Consider the following 19,506-nt stretch of genomic DNA (forward strand, 5'->3'; position numbering starts at 1 on the left):
TAAATACAAAAAATACAAAATACAAAAAAAAAATACAAAAAAATACAAAATACAAAAAAATGTAAATTTTTGTATTTTTAGTAGAGAGTTTCACCGTGTTAGCTATGATGGTCTTGATCTCCTGACCTCATGATCTGCCTGCCTCGGCCTCCCAAAGTGCTGGGATTACAGGCGTGAGCCACCACGCCCAGCCTCTTTTATTATTTTTAACCTTGAAAGGTTATCTCCAGTCCTGAGATTTAATAAAGTTTTTCTCCATCTTTTGCTGTATATACATACATTATTTAAAATGTAACACACACACACCCCTACACATACACCTCACACCTACACATACACCTGAAAGTCAGAGGGTATACCAATCAACTTAAAGAAAGCAAAGGTAGTGATTCACCAAGAAGTTAAAGCTGTCCTTTATTAAGAACCAGTTGGACCGCAAATTTCAATAAGAGCATTTGAAAGAAAAACTTGTTACCATGGATGGGTGGCTTATTATGAAGAGTTGGGGATGACAAAGAGGAGGCTGCTAGAGAATCCTTTTCCTGACTGCATTTTCACATTGAACTTGAGGCCTCCTCATGTTCTCCACTCTTCTTTTTTCTGAGGCCTCCTCATGTTCTCCACTCTCTTCTCTTTTTTTCTGAGTTTCTAGAAGAAATGTATGTGTAGCAACCTTGGATCCAAGGAATGATGACTTAAAGGAGCTGTGGGTTGTAGAATACGAAGTTCCTCATTTTCAAAAAAACTGAGAGCAACTAAAAGCTTAGAGAACTGAAAGAAATGGTCTGGGAATGCCCGGGAGTCTCTTACCATCTTTTCCTGTGATAACAGAAGCAGGTTGTTAAACAGAAAACTTGAGTCTAAGGGTATGGAAGGTGGTCTCTGTAGTTGTGAAGCCAGAGGGAGAGGAAGTTGGAAGTTTCCCTTTTGACATGAAATAAAGGATATCATAATTAGATTACACATCATACAATTTGAAATTCAACATGAGAAAGGTAAATATTTATACTTAATAAAATTTTATCTATACTGTGGACCTGTTTATTTTTATTTTACCCCTGTGGATTATTTAAACATTTGTTTTGGTGACCAGTTTAGCAAGGACATTTCTTAAAAACTGAAATTGTAACGTATGTCCTCATAATCATTCTTACTTGGAAAATGCCTAACTGACGGGTCTCTTAGCTACTGCCTAGGTTTCATTCTTTAACCTATCTGAACAGCAGGTATAGTGACTAAGAGGAACTGCTTAGTTTGTGAAGAACTGGCTTTGTAAACTCAGCTTTATAAAGTGACCACAAATTTCACAAGTCAACATGTGTGTCCTGTTTGAGCTCACTTGTCAAGGGTTGTTATAAAACTTGGGGTTTGGTTCTGCATCTTCAAGGGACTGTGGGCAAAACACCAGCTCTTGGAATACCAATTTCTTTAACTGTAATATTGGGGCTTTGGCTAAATCACTAAGGTCCCACCTAGCTCTAAAACTTGAATTTTAAAAAATCCTGCAATTAGGAAAAATCTAACAAACATAACTTTTCTTGTTCTTCTTTTTTACCTATATAAAAATGACATTTTAGGAGAGTCATAGGAAGCAGCCCAGAACTTTTTAGCTAATCAGGAATACTAGAAAGACAAATTTATGTTATTCCTTTAAGTAACTCTTAATCGAGTAGGCTGTCTCTAACTTTACTATGTTGGTTCTCTTTTTTAGATGGATTTTTCTGTTTTCTTTGTTTATAACAAATCTTGATACAATATGTACCTCATAACAATGTTTCTGTCAGTGATGGACCACATATAATGACAGCTTCTAACACCCAGTGACATCCCAGCTGTCCTAACATGGTAGCACAATATATTACTTTTTCTATGTTTAGCTACATAAATATTTATCACTGTGTTACAGTTGTTTACAGTTTTCATCACAGTAACATGTTATACACATTTGTAGCCTAGGAGCGATAGGGTACACCATACAGCCTAGGTGTGCAGTAAGCTATACTATCTAGATTTGTGTAAGTACACTCTGTGATGTTTGTACAACTACAAAATTGCCTAACGACACAGTTCTCAGAACATATACCCATTGTTAAGCAATGCATGACTGTTTTTGTTTGTTTGTTTTTTATTTTTATCTTTTGGAGATGAGTCTTGATGTGTTGCCCAGGCTGGAGTGCAGTGGCGTGATCTCAGCTCACTGCAACCTCAGCCTTCTGGGTTCAAGCAATTCTCGTGCCTCAGCCCCCTCAGTAGCTAGGACTACAGGTGCACGCTGCCATGACCAGCTAATTTGTTGTATTTTAGTAGAGACGGGGTTTCACCGTGTTGCCTAGGCTGGTCTTGAACACCTGAGCCCAGGCAGTCTGCCCGCCTTGGCCTCCCAAAGTGCTAGGATTACAGGTGTGAGTTACCACGCCCAGCCAATATGACTTTATATAAGAAATATCTATCATATTCAATTAAATTCAAATATTTTAATAAAGAATTAAAACATTGCAAAGAATAAAAACATACATACTAGAATATCTTCCTACGGTAAATTGTTACTAGGCAAAGAAACTGGCCATGATTAAGGCACTACTGCCACCTGATGGCACATAGACTAATTACAGGAAAAGTATCATGAAAAGTCAGCTTTTTGAATGAGTGAAATTAAAAAGTGATGATAAATTTTTAGCCTTTTTTTTTTTTTTTTAAGACAGAGTCTCACTGTCTCCCAGTCTGGAGTGCAGTAGTGCGATCTAGGCTCACTGCAGGCTCCACCTCCCGGGTTCAAGCCATTTCTCCTGCCTCAGCCTCCCAAGTAGCTGGGATTACAGGGAACCGCTACCACACCCAGGTAATTTTTGTATTTTTAGTACAGACAGTGTTTCCTATGTTGGCCAGGCTAGTATCAAACTCCTAGCCGCAAGAGATCCGCCCACCTCTTCCTCCCAAAGTGCTGGGATTACAGGTGTGAGCCACTGCACTCGGCCAAATTTTTAGTCTTAAATGGTCCTCCAAAATTTATGTTTAAGAAGGCATCTGGCTGGGCGAGGTCCCTTGGCCTCATTTAATCCTCATGGCTACCCTATAAGGAAGGTACTATTATCAGCTTCATGTTACACACAAGGTAACTGAAGAACACAGAAGATGAGTAAATTACCCAATGTCATAATTGGTAGAGCTAGGATTCAAATCTAGTCTGCTTGGATTTAAAATCTGCTCTTAACCACTATACTCTACCACTTCTTTGTTGTCCATCACTTGAATAAAATTTATTTAACAAAGTACTCATTTCTGAGTACTTAGGTAGTTTCTAAGTTATTATTTTAAATAATAATGTGATGATCGTTCTTGTGGCTAAATTTTTGTAAACAGATATCATTCTACTCTTAGACTAAATTCTGAGAAGTAAAATTGAGCATCAAGTGAACTTCACATATTTAAAGTTCGTTATCTAATTGCCTTGTGTCAGAAAGTAAGGAAATGCTCAAAGAAAGGACGTGTACCAATCAATACTTCCAGAAGCAGATCTATGTTATTCTTTGTTTTTAAATCGACTTTCAAATTGCAAATGTCATACATTCTTATAAAACATTCAAACAACTCTAAATCTACTTTTTGTGTATCCTAAGATTCAGCAACAAAGTAAATACATTGTGATTAATGGGAGTCATGTGTCCCAGTGTTAAATATATTAGTTATAAATAGGGAAAGTGGAAGGCTAAAGTGAACCAGTGGTATTGGATTAGAATCGAAGGTATGGGTATGAATTTATGGGTTTTTTTAAACATATTTACATAAATATGGTATAGAAATAAATTTAAGTGTGTGTGTGTGTGTGTGTGTGTGTGTGTGTGTGTGGTGGGGGAACGTATGTATGCATTTGTGTATATATTTCCTAACCCTGTTAAGAAGGCCTAAAAGCAGACTGGGCGTGATGGCTCATGCCTGTAATCCCAGCACTTTGGGAGGCCGAGGTGGCAGATCTCTTGAGGTCAGGAGTTCAAGACCAGCCTGGCCTACATGGGGAAACACCGTCTCTACTAAAAATACAAAAATTAGGTGGGCATGGTGGCGTGCACCTGTAATCCCAGCTACTCGGAAGGCTGAGGCACGAGAATCGCTTGAACCCAAGAGGCGGAGGTTGCAGTGAGCCGAGATCCTGCCACTGGACACCAGCCTGGTGACAGAGCTAGATTCTGTCTCAAAAAAAAAAAAAAAAAAGGTCCGGCATGGTGGCTCACACCTGTAATCCCAGCACTTCAGGAGGCCAAGGTGGGCGGATCACTTGAGGTCAGGAGTTCAAGACCAGCCTGGCCAACATGGGGAAATCGTGTTTATTCAGGAAGCTGAGGCTGGAGAACAGCTTGAACCCACGAGGTAGAGGTTGCAGTGAGACAAGGTCATGCCAGTGCACTCCAGACTGGGACAGAGCAAGACTCTGTCAAAAAGAGAAAAAAAAAAAGGCCTAAAAGAATGAAAGCCAGTAGCAATTAACTTCCAAGTGCCATTCTTCATTAAAAAGAACCAAATATCCTTGGAGAAATGGCAGACTGCAAGGTTGGGGCTGTGAAAGTACAAAATGAGTGTAGAGCAGGGGTTCCAACCTCCAGGCCACAGACTGGTACTGTGCAAGGAATCTAGGTTGCCTGCTCTTTGTGAGAATCTGATGCCTGATTATTACAATGTGATAAAAATAAAAATAAAGTACACAATAAGTGTAATGCACTTGAATCATTCTGAAACCATCCTCCACCCCCCGGGTCCATGGAAAAATTGTCTCCCACAAAACAAGTCCCCAGTGCCAAAAAGGTTGAGGACCAAAAACCAGTCCCTGGTGCCAAAAAAGTTGGAGTGCACAATAAATGTAATGCACTTGAATCATTCCAAAACCATCCTTCACCCCTGGGTCCACGGAAAAACTGTCTTCCACGAAACCAGTCCCTGGTGCCAAAAGGGTTGAGGACCGCTGGTGTAGAGCATCTTTGTGTCAGAAAGTAAGGAAGTGCTCAAAGACAGAGGGGACATGTCTAAAGGATGTGGGAGCCAGCTCCACCGGGTCCCCCACTGGCCAAATCTGGGGCAATTTTGTGTATCAAAATACATGATGAGGATAAAGAATCCATAGCAATATGGATTCTACATCACAATAAATAATTCTGCATCAAAGTAAATAATGAGGATAAAGAATCCATACTGACATGAATGAATGAAAGAATGAATGAATGGGGAAAAGGGAAAGCTTTCTTTGATAGTAAAATTCCAACTAATTAATGTAGAAGGAATGATGGAATCAGAAAATCACCACTTCAAAGGGAAAAGTAGCAAATTAACAGCAGAAAAACTTGGCAGACATCCCTTTAACCAGTGTTCAAAGTATTTTTTGTTCTTTTTTTTTTTTTTTATGAGGCAGGGGTCTTGCTATGTTGCCTAAGCTGGTCTGTAACTCTTGGGCTCAAGGAATCCTCCTGCGTCAGCCTTTGAGTAGCTGGGATTACAGGTGCATGCCACCTTGCCAGCCAGTAGTGTTGAAAGTTTAACATCAGTTGTAATGGGATATCATGTGCCTCCTGACGTGAAACATTGAGAATACAACAACAGTTCTGTGAATTTATTGCCAAAAATGGTAACCTGACTTGAATCATGAAGAAATATCAGACAAACCCAAATTGAAGGACACAAATATCTGGACTGTATTAATCAGAAATATCAAGGTCATGAAAAACAAGGAAAGACTAAGTAAGAAACTGTTTCTAATTAGAGGAGACTAAAGAAACCTGACAACTACATTCGATTCACTACTTGGGATTTTCTTTTTCTATAAAAGTCATTATTGGGGCAGTTAGTGAAATTTAAATATGTTCTATAGATTAGCTAATAGTGTCTTATCAGTGTTAATGTCTTAATTATCCTGATTTTAGTATTATCCTATGGTTATGTAACAGAATGTGTTTAGAGAATACATGGTGAAGTATTTAGAGATAAGGGGGATCATATCTGCAACTTACCCTCAAACAGTTTTTAAAATTTACACACACACACATACACACACACACGCACACATGCAGAGATTGCAGAGGGGAAAAAAACAGAAAGAGGGAAAGATAAAACATCCATTACAAATGTGACAGATGTTAACTTTTGGGGAATCTAGGTAGAGGTTACAAAGTAATTCCTTGTACTATTTTTTTTTTTCCTCCCAAGACAGAGTCTTGCTCTGTCATCCGGGCTGGAGTGCAGCGATGCGATCTGGGCTCACTGCAACCTCTGCCTCCCGGGTTCAAGCAGTTCTCCTGCCTCAGCCTCCTGAGTAGCTGGGATTACAGGCGCGTGCCACCATGCCCAGCTAATTTTTGTATTTTTAGTAGAGACAGATTTTCACCATGTTGGCCAGGCTGGTCTCAAAGTCCTGACTTCGTGATCCGCCTGTGTCAGCCTTCCAAAGTGCTGGGACTACAGGCATGAGCCACTGCAGCTGGCCTCCTCACAGTATTTTCGTAACGTAGTATAAGTCTGAAATTTTGTCAAAATAAAAATTTAACAAAATTTAAACAATATAAAAGTATCTGTTTAAAAAAGGGAAAGGGATTTCAAAGTGATTTCTTATTCTTCTTTCATTCTTTCCTCAGATCTTATCACAATGAATAATTTGGTGAGTAGCTTTCTAAATTTTTGCTATGCATATACAAAGACATGTATACGTATGTGTCTCCATGTTTGTTCCTGTACAATTTCTAGTAGGTTCATACTCCACTATACAATAGAATATTTTGCTGCTTTTCTTTTTTTGATGGAGTCTCACTCTGCCGCCCAGGCTGGAGCGCAGTGGCGCAATCTTGGCTCACTGCAACCTCTGCCTCCCAGAGTTCAAGCGATTCTCCTCCCTCAGCCTTCCAAGTAGCTGGGATTACAGGTGCCCACCACCATGCCTGGCTGATTTTTGCATTTTTAATAGACATGGGGTTTCATCATGTTGGCCAGGCTGGTCTCAAACTCCTGACCTCAGGTGTTCTGCCCGCCTTGGCCTCCCAAAGTGCTGGGATTACAGGCGTGAGCCACCATGCCTGGCCCGCTGCTTGATTTGTAAAATGCTATATTACTGACATTTTCCCATGTCAGTACATATACATATACCTCTGTTTTTTTATATATAACTAATGTAGTTCTATAATATCTAGGGTATGGATGTAGTATGACTCATATACTAATTTTCCCATTGATGAACATGTAGATTGCTTTCTTTTTCTATAAAAAACTGCAACTAATGGCCAGACACTGTGGCTCACACCTGTAATCCCAGCACTTTGGGAGGCCAAGGCGGGCAGATCATGAGGTCAAGAGATTGAGAGCATCCTGGTCAACATGGTGAAACCCTGTCTCTACTAAAAATACAAAAATTAGCTGGACCTGGTGGTGTGGGCCTGTAGTCCCAGCCACTTGGGAGGCTGAGGCAGGAGAATCACTTGAACCAACAAGACGGAGGTTGCAGTGAACTGAGATCACGCCACTTCACTCCAGCCTGGTGACAGAGTGAGACTCTGTCTCAAAAAAACAAAAAACAAAAAACTGCAACTGACATTTTTGTGCATTTGCCTCTATTTTCTGTGGTATAGATGTGGAATTCCTCAGTCAAAGGGTATTCATATTTAACCTATTGATAAATATTGCAAGGACTATTGCACTGTAGAAAGCACAAAGTGCAGCTAAATAGCTTCTCTTAATGACCACTGGGAGAAGCATATGTTAGCAACAAGTGTGAATAATGCTAAGTCAAATTTGTGGGTCATTTGGATGAGTCTTATGGTCCATGAGCTGCTTACAGCTGTGCATTGCTTGCTGGTCACCACAGAGCAGTGACAATCAGCCATGTGTGCATTGCTATCAGCACAGAGAAGGGAGAGTTGCCCTTGTATATTACTTGCAAACTATGTGTTATCTCATGCAGGCTGGTACATGATTACAGTCTCCCAAGAGTTAATTGTTAACTGGAGGGGTTATGCTAACTCTGTTAAGTGCCCATTATTACCTACATGTTTTCTGTTGTGTTTATTTTAAGAATGCAGACAGCTATTAATTATTGCGACAGTTGGATCACTATTTAACTTCTACTTTACTTTCTTCTCCTTACTATTTTCTCATCTTTTAGTCACAATTGATGTAGTAATATCAGTTATATATCTGTAAGAAAATATCAGAGGTACTGAGAAAGGCTTACTATAAATGAATAAATATAATAGTTTATTTTATTATTCCACCCACAATCCCTCCTAAAAATATCTGTTTTATCCAGTAGTCTGGCTTTTCATCTGCAATGAATATGTCATGTTTTGTGAAAGGGGTGTATGTGTGAGGGAAAGGGGGCAGAAATAGTTATCCCAATCCAATGTATACTCAGAGATTGTTTCCAGGCCAACAGAAGTGCTTTTGAATTATTGCTGTAAATTAGCATATTAAAAATAGAATAGTTTTTAAAATATAGCAGGTTAAAATCTTTAGGCAGCATAAGGTTTATTATTATGTGACTTTAAAACAATGGAAGGAAAGATGAAAAGATAGTTTTCAAGTAATATGTATTGAGTTTCTCTTCCAAGTCTTGGGCCGGGTGCTAAAGAACACAGATGAACAAGGACATCAATGTTCTTTGTCCTTGAATAACACACTTTTGTGGGACACAGACAAATGAGCACGTAGTTATGATATGAAGGCTGTGTAATATTGACATATACTGGATGTAGGTGTAAAATATCAAGGGAGCAGAGAAGAAGAAATAATTAGTTTTGACTGAGGGTATCAGAAAAATTTCAATGGATATATGATCTTTGGGGTGGCCCTTGAAGGATGAGTAGGAGCTCTAGGTTGGTAAGACATAATGGAAGACATTTCAGGCAAAGAGAATAATGAATTGCACGAGTGAAGGCAGAAAGGCTTTTGGATTCCTTATACACCTGTGACCTCTAAGAACTCTGAAAGTTAATGCAAATCCTAGGCCAGTGCTTCTCACACTTTCTGTGTATACAAACCATCTGGAGCACAGTAATATTCAGGTTCTGATTCAGAAGGCCTGGAGCGAGCCTGTCATTCTGCATTTCTAACAAGATCCCAGGGGCCTGGGGACCACACTTTGAGCAGAAAGGCTCTAAGCACTGTAAACTGTTGTGTGTTTCAGCCAGGCCTGCTACTTGGTGTAGCCTAGAAACAAGATGGAGATCACACATTTGTCTTTTGCCACGAGAAAATTTATAGCAAGTATCTAAAGGCCCTCTTTTTGAGACTGTGATATTTCAGAAACAGATTCTGCATTGTACCTGCACCAGCCCAGGTATAAATAGAGTGACTCATCCTGGAGGCCACTTGTCCAGATGACATGGGAGCAAGCACTACAGGAAAGGTGAGGGAAAGGTCCTGGCAGGCCAGGCTAGTTCCTGTGCATCCAGGGCAATGGTGAAATCCTTAGTGTGAGGGGACTGTGGCAGGAGGTGGGAAGAAAGCCAGACACGTAGTATTTTCACAAGATTTAAATTGGTTGGGGCTCCTTCAGAATAATAATAATAATTAGAAAAACATAACACCAATCACCCCTTTGAGTTTTTTTTGATGATGCTTTCTCAGGTATTTAATTTTTAGTGAGAAAATAGCTACATCACTTGGAATGGTTTGTTTTAAATTCAAAACTTTTTTTTCCTTAAAAAAACCATTTAAAAAATCATAGAAATAGGCACTTGTCCTTTGCAGAACACTTGACAAAAAACAAAAAACAAAACAAAACAAAAAACCCACAACATTTTGGGGTGGTCATAGTTCAGTAGATGATTTGGACTCATTTCCTCTTCTTTCTATTGTCCATACATCACCCAGTTGCCTACCCTCCTTGGGGTGTTGGCGCCAGTGAGGGTTTGGTAATATGGCAAACTGTTATCTGCAGTTGGAGAAGAGCTGGGGGGGCCCGCTTGTTGTGCTAGAGACAAATTGTGATCTCAAAATGAGGTCACTGAGCTTTTCTTCACTTTCATCTTCCCTGATATTTATGCTGATTGTGAAATGGAATAGGAGACTTCTTAAGATTAATGAAGGAGGGGGAGAGATTAGGTGATTATTTTTCACAAGAAAGATCATTGTGGACATGCCTTCTTTTCCCTAATAAAATTTACAACCTATACAGATAGCTTGAAGCAGACCACATGGCTACAATTTAGCACCCAGGGATTGGAATGGGCTTACTACCTCTATCCCAAAACATCCCCACATAAAGACTGTTGCAGAAACAAGAGATCATGCTAGATCATATTAGAGGGATAAACAATTATCAACACCAAGGACTCACGAAGGATAAATTAAGACAGATGTCTGAGCTTGTTGGAGAGAATGATAAAACCAGAGGCTGAAGGAGACTAGGTGATGAGGACACCACAATGCAAAGTCAATGCATCTTTGATATATTCCCAAGCACAAAGTAAGAGCCCAGGTCATCTGGATGCCTGCATCTTGGGGCTTAGTAAATAAGCAGCTTGGAACCAGAGTTTATCTCTTTCAATTTTGCTTCCACCAGAATTCCTAAAAGGGATTCTCATGTTTTAGAGGCATATTTAACACCTGGAAGAGCTTGTTGGGAATGCAGATTCCTGGGCTGCAGCCCAGCCTGCTGACTCAGAGAAGCCCCTGATGATTCTCAGTAGGTGGATTGAGCCCATCCTGCGAGCATAATTGCCTTAGTGAATTCACACTAATTGACAAGGCACTTGAGGAAAACAAAAACAAAAAAACAACAACAACAAAAAATGTAGGTCTCGTGACACTAGGAAAGAAAGTCATGTTTTTACCCCTGCTGGTCTCCCACCACAAGCTACGGGCAAAGAAGGGAAGAGATCCAAAGCAGAGAAAACACAAAATAGACAAACCTCAATTTTTACATCATAGGGGTATTTTTAAAAGGCTGTGTATAATCAAATTTGTGTCAGTTAATCTTTACTTTCCCTTAAGTCTAACTCAATGTATCCACTTTTGATTTTTAATGTGGTAATGACTTTGTCATCTTTTTTTTCTCTTCTACTTATGCCATACTTATGGCATACTTATGCCAGCCTCTCCATCCAGAATTGAACTGCCTGTGAACCAGCTACAGAGAGCACCCAGGGCCATTTGCCTCACAGCAGCAGAGCTGCTTGTTTACCGAGAGCTCCAGCCCCTTGTTGGCAAAGGTGGACCTCTTATCTCTCAGGGATCACTCTGCCTCTGGGTTCCTGTATCCCTGTGTGGGATTTACACACTGCCCGAGGGCCTGGCTCTTCCTGGGTTCTGCTCCACTGTTGCCCAGCTGACCTGTCAAGTTGTGGTTGGAGACCCAGAGTGACCCAGCCCCTACATCGCCCATCAGACTTGTTGCCCTGGTCTGGCTGGCCATTTATCTGGCTCTGGGATTAACTCTAAAATCCTGAGGGCACCAGCCTTCTAGGAGTCTGATATGGGCCATTTTCCCTGGAAATATAAATGAAACTGACTGGCGTGGGAGCACTTATAGCTCTTGCTGGTCCTCCTGGTCCTGGGTCCAACCTAAAAGGATCTTTTTCACCATTCCCACTGTCCCTGATCAAATCAATCTCTCCTTATTTGTCATATGGACCACCCTGGTGCTCTCCTGACTTACCTCCTTCCACCTTTTTTAGTCTATTTTAGTCCACCGTCCGTTTGGCTGCCCGAGGAAACTCTCTAAACTATGGATCTGACATCATTACCCTGCCATGTCCCTTTAATAGTTCCCCATTATCTGAGGGTAAAGCCAAAATTCACAATGGCCCACAAGGCCCTATCTCACCAGCCTGATCTCTCTCTCTTTCTCTCTCTCTCTCTCAAATCTTCCCCAAAATGCCACTTATGCTCTAGCTATAGCGAACATCTTATTCTTTCTTTCTTTTTTTTTGAGACTGAGTCTCACTCTGTCGCCCAGGCTGGAGTGCAGTGGCACGGTCTCAGCTCACTGCAAGCTCCGCCTCCCTGGTTCACGCCATTCTCCTGCCTCAGCCTCCTGAGTAGCTGGGACTACAGGGGCCTGCCACCACGCCTGGCTAATTTTTTTGTATTTTTAGTAAAGACGGGGTTTCATCGTGTTAGCCAGGATGGTTTCGATCTCCTGACCTCGTGATCTGCCCGCCTTGGCCTCCCAAAGTGCTGGGATTACAGGCATGAGCCACTGTGCCCAGCCTTACTCTTTTTAAGTCTATGCCATCTTCCAATGCCACATTTGTGTCCTCATGTTATGTCCTCACCCTGGAATGTTCTCTCTTCCCATTTTTGTCCCTCTTGCTTTTTCTTCAACTTTTTTTTTTTTTTTGAGTCAAGGTCTTGCTCGATCACCCAGGCTGGAGTGCAGCCTCGACCTCCCAGGCTCAAGTGATCTCCCACCTCAGCCTCTTGAATAGCTGAAATCACAGGTACGTACCACTATGCCTGGCTAATTTGTTTATTTTGTAATGATAGGGTCTCCCTATGTTGCCCAGGCTGGTCTCAAACTCCTGGACTCAAGAGATTCTCTTGCCTTGGCCTCACAAAGTGCTGGGATTACAGGTGTGAGCCACCATGCATGGCCTTGTCTTTTTTCTTGAATAAGAATCTCACCTTGTCCCCCAGGCTGGAGTGCAGTGGTGTGATATTGGCCCATTGCAGCTTCGACCTCCCAGGTTTAAGCAATCCTCCTGCCTCAGCCCCAACAAGTAGTTGAAACTACAGGCATGCACCACCACACCCAGGTAATGTTTGTATTTTTTTTCTAGAGACGGGGTTTCACCATATTGCCCAGGCTGGTCTCAAACTCCTGAGCTCAAGCAATCCACCTGCCTTGGCCTCCCAAAGTGCTAGGATTACAGGCATAATCCACCATGCCCCGCCCTCCTTTAGCTCTTTTAACGTTTTTTGGTTTTTTTTTTTGCATATTATTATGAAATGGTAAGCATTCGTGACGGAAAATTCAGAAAGTGTAGAAAAGAAAACCAACCATAGTCTCATCTCTCATAAGCAACAAATGTTAATATTTGGGCATAGTTCCTCCAGTCTTTTTGTTCATTTGCATTTTTCTTTTGATAACTGACAGCATTCTATACATGAACTCGTATATTCATTTTTAAAAAATTTTTTGAGACAGGATCTCTGTTGCCCAGCCTAGAGTACGGTGGCCCAAACACAGTTCACTGCAGCCTCAACCTCCCAGGCTCAAGCGATCCTCCCACGTCAGTCTCCTGAGTAGCTGGAATCACAGGCACACACTAACATGCCCAGCTAATTTTTAATTTTCTTGTGGAGACGGGGTCTCACTTTGTTTCCCAGGCTGGTCTCCAATTCATGGGCTCAAGTGATCCTCCCACAGTGCTCCCAAAGTGCTGGGATAACAGGCGTGAGTCACTGTGTTTGGCCTATGTTGTCTTAAAATAGTCTTAAATACCAACATGGGCAATATAATGAGACCCTGGCTCCACAAAAAGTAAAAGAATTAGCTGGGTGTGGTGGCATGCACCTGTAGTGCCAGGTATTTGAGAGGCTGAGGTGGGAGGATTGCTTGAGCCCAGGAGGTTGAGGCTGCCATTGAGCCATGATTGCACCACTGACCTCCGGACTGGGTGATAGAACAAGACCCTGTGTCAATTTTTTTTTCCTGAAACATATTTAAAAAAAACAAACTTTTTTTTTTTTTTTGAGATGGAGTCTCGCTTTATTGCCCAGGCTGGAGTGCAATGGTGTGTTCTCAGCTCACTGAAACCTCTGCCTCCTGGGTTCAAGCGATTCTCTTGCCTCAGCCTCCCAAGTAGCTGGGACTACAGGTGTGCACCACGTTCAGCTAATTTTTGTATTTTTAGTAGAGACAGGGTCTCACCATGTTGGCCAGGCTGGTCTCGAACTCCTGGCCTCAGGTGATCCACCTGCCTCGGCCTCCCAAAGTGCTGGGATTACAGGCATGAACCACTGTGCCCAGCCAAAAAAGCTTTTTGAAAGTACAATTCAAAAAATTTTAAATAAAATTTTAGACTTACCAAAAAGTTGCAAAAATATACAGAGAATTCCTGTATATTCTTCACCCAACTTCCCTTAATGTTAACATCTTATAACCAGAGTATAATTATCAAAACTAAGAAATTTTTTTCCACCGTAAAGTTACTACTTTTCTCTTTGTAAATAATATTTTTTGTGGGGGGGATACTTTGAGAGCATACAAATATCCTGCTTCTCCTTAAACTTTTGCCCATCAGTTTTAGCATCCATCAGTGGATACTGCTTGCAGTTATTATTACTGCGATATTCTAACCGAGATTTTCTATTTCCTTATTCCTTACATTTTACAATTGGAATTCTTCTGTAAAGTAAAGTACCTTCTCCTCAATTTATTTATACTGTATGGACTCAAAGATTTTTATTTAACCATTGGGTTTTAATCTAGTACTATCATAATATAGTACTATGCTTAATCCAGTAGTATTCTTATTTATTTTGTTGCTCAAATTGTTTCAGCCTTGGCCATAGGGGGCTCTTTCAGTTTGGCTCTCGTGCCCTTTCGACAAGATCCCCATCCTTTTTTTTATGGGGGGGCACTTCATCACTTTTTAGCATAATTTGTGTCTTAACCTCTCCCAACTCTGGAATCCACTATTTTTCCAAGGAACCACAATTTCTTTTGTTGGAGAATAGTATTTAGAAAACAAGGTCAGCCAGGCGTGGTGGCTCACGCCTGTAATCCCAACACTTTGGGAGGCCGAGGAGGGCAGATCACGAGGTCAGAAGATCGAGACCATCCTGGCTAACATGGTGAAACCCCCGTCTCTACTAAAAATACAAAAAAAAAAAAAAAAAAAAATTAGCTGGGCGTGGTGGCAGGCACCTGTAGTCCCAGCTACTTGGGAGGCTGAGGCAGGAGAACGGTGTGGGCCCAGGAGGCGGAGCTTGCAGTGAGCCGAGATCGTGCCACTGCACTCCAGCCTGAGTGACAGAGCAAGACTCAATCCCCAGAAAAAAAAAAAAAAAAAGAAAACAAGGTCTACGACTTGCATTTTGGAGTCAAAAAACATGGATATTACTAACAGCTAAGTATACATGCTGCCAGATTTTTTTTCAGTAAGTTTAAACTAAACACACTGCCACCAATTTTTCCAGTTCTACTAAATCATATTGTCAATTCAAATGGATTATCATTCATCTATCTTTCTCTTTATTCTTCCCTCCATCCTTCTGTCTCTCCTACTCTCTTTCCTTTTATTCTTACTTTCTCTTTTAATATAATGAGAAAAATGTACCTCATTTATTCTTCAATCCAGGTGAGTTTGGATATTTCTTTCATTCATTCAACAAAAATTTAGTGATGCCAACTGAGTCAGATTCTAGGCAATAGAGACATCCTCTTTTGGTTAATATTTTCATGGAATATCTTTTTCCATTTTCTCACTTTCATTCTACGTGTATCTTTGGATCTAAAGTGAGTCTCTTATGGACAGCATATAGTTGGATCATGTGTTTTTATCCATTCTTTTAATCTCTGTCTTTTGATTAGAGACTTTAATCCATTTGTATTTAAAGTAATTACTGATAAGCAGGGACTTCTGTTATTTTGCTATGTTTTCTACATGCCTTATGGCTTTTTAGTTCCTCATTTTCTTTTAATTTTTATATAACTTTCCTTTATTTTTTTTAGAGAAATGTTTAAATTCCTTTATCATTTCTGTGTGTGTGTGTGTGTGTGTGTGTGTGTGTGTGTATTTTTTTTCCTGTTGCTCAGGTTGGAGTGCAGTGGCTTGAACATGGCTCACTGCAGACTTAACCTCCTGGGCTCAATTGATCCTCCTGCTTCAGCCTCCTGATTAGTTGGGACTAGAGGCACAGGCACATGCCACCACGTCCAGCTAACTTTTGTATTTTTTTGTAGTGACAAAATGCCTGGCTCCCAAAAGGGTAAAATGAGAAAAATAGAGGAGAAAAGAGGGTTCTTACCCTTTAAATCCCCTGAAGTCACTTCAGCTAAAGGCAGAGGGGCTTGCAAGAATAGGAGGAGGTGCAACAACAATGGCTACCTCTTTGTATGCACTTCTGTGTTCAGAAGCAGACCATTTGTCTGAATAATGTCACTGTAGACATGAGTGTACAAATACCTCTTTGAGACCACCAATGTCAGTGGTCTGATTTTTAAAAATCAATTTTAATTACATAATTTTCAACATCTCATATGGGTCCCCACATTATTCTTGCATTTTACAATTTCTCTTGTGTTCTCTCCTATTTGGTTTTCCAAATGGATTGTTTTTCCAACTGCACTCCAAAAATGTCTATTAAAATTTTGATAAAAATTATAAGATAAATTATATAAATTAAATGTAAATAATTATCTTTTTGGGAAACCAAATATTTAATGTGTTCACTAAATTGTATCAATGCAATTTCAAGCAAATGCCAATTGGAAGACCAAGCCCAGGAATTCATAGAGGAAACAATCTTCCAAATAATAAGGAGCACTAAGGTGATCTTCCCCTTCAGCCACAATACTAGTAGCTATAAGAGTGTAAGTCAGTCAGTATTATCCAGATTTCTGAGCATTTACCACAGCATCAATTTTCAGAATTCTCTGGACAGTTTCATTTGCTAGGGTCAGAGCAATAAATGAAATCACAAAAGTTGGGCAACCAGTTTTCCAAAATGGAAATACTGCCCTTTTGATACTAATGCCTGCAATTTTTTTCTTGTTAGGCATGTTGATTTCTTAGTTCTGTTACTGTAGAAATGGGATTCAAAGCCAGCATTTTCAGCTAGTGTAGTTGGAATGACCTCCATAGCATCTGCAAAACATGAACACTGTAAAATTCCATACCACTCAATGTTCACAAACATTCAGTTAACCATAGGGCCAATTCTACTGGAGCACCACCTCCTGCAGTAAGAGCTCTCTTCACCAAACAGCAAATAATACATAGCACATCGTGAATGGAAGGCTCAATTCTTCAGTCCTATGACAATTTTAACTGTTTTTCCAGCACTTGTACAGCCTGTAGTCTTGAGCAGTTTTCCAGAACCATTTAAACTGACCTTCTCAGCTAACTCAGCAAAACCCAGCATGTCAGTGTGACTTGGTCAGTACGAGCAACTGGCTTGGTTCCAATTGTCTTACAAATGAATTCAACATCTTCTTTTTCAATATTCTTAACCAACATAATAATTTTGTTCAGGAAATGTCATGCAAGATCACTAGGAGCGTCTCTAAAGTGTCCTGTATGAGAAGGACATTATATCCCATTTGTAAAAGTTTGCTATACTAAACTTAAAATATAGGCTCTCTCTCTCATAGCATTTAGTCCATCTGAACATTGTCAGAAACTGCTACTTGATTTCCAAATCTGTTGGGAGCAGATAAGCAAAACTGAATGTGCCCAATCTTAGCCTTTTCAAATTGGGTTATGCCAGAATTTACCACTTTCTGGGTGAGAATAAGACCTTCCACCAACTCACAGTCATCAATTTTTCCACCAAGTTTCTTAACCGCAGTCATATATTGCTTAACAATGGGGTACAATCTGAGAACGGCATTGTTAGGTCATTTTGTCATGCAAACATCATAGAGTGTACTTACACAAACCTAGGTGGTATAGCCTACTACACACATAGTTACATAGTATAGCCTATTGCTTGTAGGCTATAAACATGTACAGCATGTTACTATACTGAATACTACATATCTAAACATTGAAAATGTACAGCAAATACATGGCATTATAACCACTGTCATATGCAGTCTGTTGTTGACTGAAATACTGTTACATGACACATGACTGTATGTTAATATCTCTAAGATTTACAGTAGTACCTGTAGCTGGGTCACTTTCATCACTGCATTTACACTCGTCGGAGGAAGCAGAACTTGAATACTGAAAGACAACCTGTGAGTTCAAAGAACTGGTGGCACTGTTTAACAAAGTTTCTCTGTCATTCAGTTCCACAGGTTGAGATATGTTACTTAAGATCTCAATACCCTTTTCCAAAGACTTCTGGGATGACTTGGAAGTGATGGTTGGATGAATCCCTTTCTGAAGAAGCTTGGCCCAGGAACCTATGAGAGAGCCAGCAATAGTGCCAACTGATGCAGTGCTATCTCCTGCTTCTATATCTTAGCCCCCCCAGCATTCTGCTGCTGGATGTGACACTTGCATTTGTTTCAGAATGGTGGCACCATCATTTGTAGTGATCACATTGCCTTTTCCACCTTAAATCTTTTTTCCCATTCCTTTTGGTCCAAGGCTTGTTTTAATAGCATCAGCAACAGCTTTGGCTGTGATGTTGCTGAACCAGATCTCAGCCTGCTTGTCATATCCCTGACAGGCACCTTTCACACAGCAGCTGGCAGCCCTGGTGGGTGCCCTGCTCCATGGTCCAAACAACATCTTTACTTGGGCATGTTAACTAAAACTTTCTCCTTATGTGTTACATCTTGTTTTGTTTTTTGTTTGTTTTGCTGTCAGGTTCTAAAGATGTGCTCCTTTAGGGTTAGGGAAAGGCTCCAGGATGGCTATGGAATTCCACTAGGGAGCTAGAGGGCCACAGGAATCTACCAGCTGGGGGACTTTGGCCAAGTTACTTTAAACCATAGTTCTCAAAGTGTGATCTCCAGACCAGCATCATCAGCCACACCTGGGAACCTATTACAAATACAAATTCTTGGGCCTTGTTGGAGATCTATTGAACAAGAAACTGGGAGTGGGGCTTAGCCATTTATGTTGAACAAACCCTCAAGATGCTGCTGATGAATACTTAAGTTTGAGAAATACTGTGTTAAACCATATTTCTTTTTCTTTTTTTTTTTTTTTTTTTGAGACGGAGTCTCGCTGTCGCCCAGGCTGGAGTGCAGTGGCGCAATCTCGGCTCACTGCAGGCTCCGCCCCCTGGGGTTCACGCCATTCTCCTGCCTCAGCCTCCGGAGTAGCTGGGACTACAGGCGCCCGCCACCTCGCCTGGCTAATTTTTTGTATTTTTAGTAGAGACAGGGTTTCACCGTGTTAGCCAGGATGGTCTCGATCTCCTGACCTCGTGATCCGCCCGCCTCGGCCTCCCAAAGTGCTGGGATTACAGGCGTGAGCCACCGCGCCCGGCCAACCATATTTCTTAACCTTGGCTGCACAGTAGAGCCACCTAAGGAGCTTTTCTCTATCTACCCCTATTCTGATTAGTCTGGAGGGGGACCGGTGACAGGAATCTTGATTCTAATGCATAACCAGAGTTGAGAACCACAGCTCTGAACTTGTTTGTGTATAAAATGGGGGAAAATAATACTTACCTCTTAGAGCCGTTGTAGTGATTAAGTGATACAACTTACAGTAAGAGTGAAGCAGGCCCGGGTGGCTCACGCCTGTAATCCCAGCCCTTTGGGAGGCCGAGGCAGGTGGATCACTTGAGGTCAGGAGTTAGAGACCAGCCTGGCCAACATGGCGAAACCCCGTCTCTACTAAAAACACACAAAAAAATTAGCCGGGCGTGGTGGTGGGCGCCTATAATCCCAGCTACTCCGGAGGC

At 41.0% G+C, this 19,506-nt stretch overlaps 2 long non-coding RNA genes and 1 pseudogene across 2 annotated transcripts in view; 1 reads left to right on the plus strand and 2 right to left on the minus strand.

Annotated features, from left to right (window-relative positions):
• The window catches only part of LOC105375536 (uncharacterized), a 68,680-nt gene extending 56,323 nt beyond the window's left edge, over positions 1-12,357 (plus strand). Inside the window, exons 4-5 of the long non-coding RNA XR_002956518.2 lie at positions 6,615-6,637; positions 12,319-12,357. This is a non-coding gene — a long non-coding RNA (uncharacterized LOC105375536). The remainder of the gene's footprint in view (positions 1-6,614; positions 6,638-12,318) is intronic.
• On the minus strand, positions 612-15,338 carry LOC107986720 (uncharacterized). Its single transcript, XR_001744994.2, has 3 exons — positions 15,255-15,338; positions 811-924; positions 612-704 (listed from the first exon to the last, which is right to left on the minus strand). It is a non-coding gene; the product is annotated as an uncharacterized LOC107986720 (long non-coding RNA).
• On the minus strand, positions 16,330-18,374 carry CCT4P1 (chaperonin containing TCP1 subunit 4 pseudogene 1; annotated as a pseudogene).

This window comes from Homo sapiens, chromosome 7 (assembly GCF_000001405.40).
Source record: "Homo sapiens chromosome 7, GRCh38.p14 Primary Assembly".
NCBI lineage: Eukaryota > Metazoa > Chordata > Mammalia > Primates > Hominidae > Homo > Homo sapiens.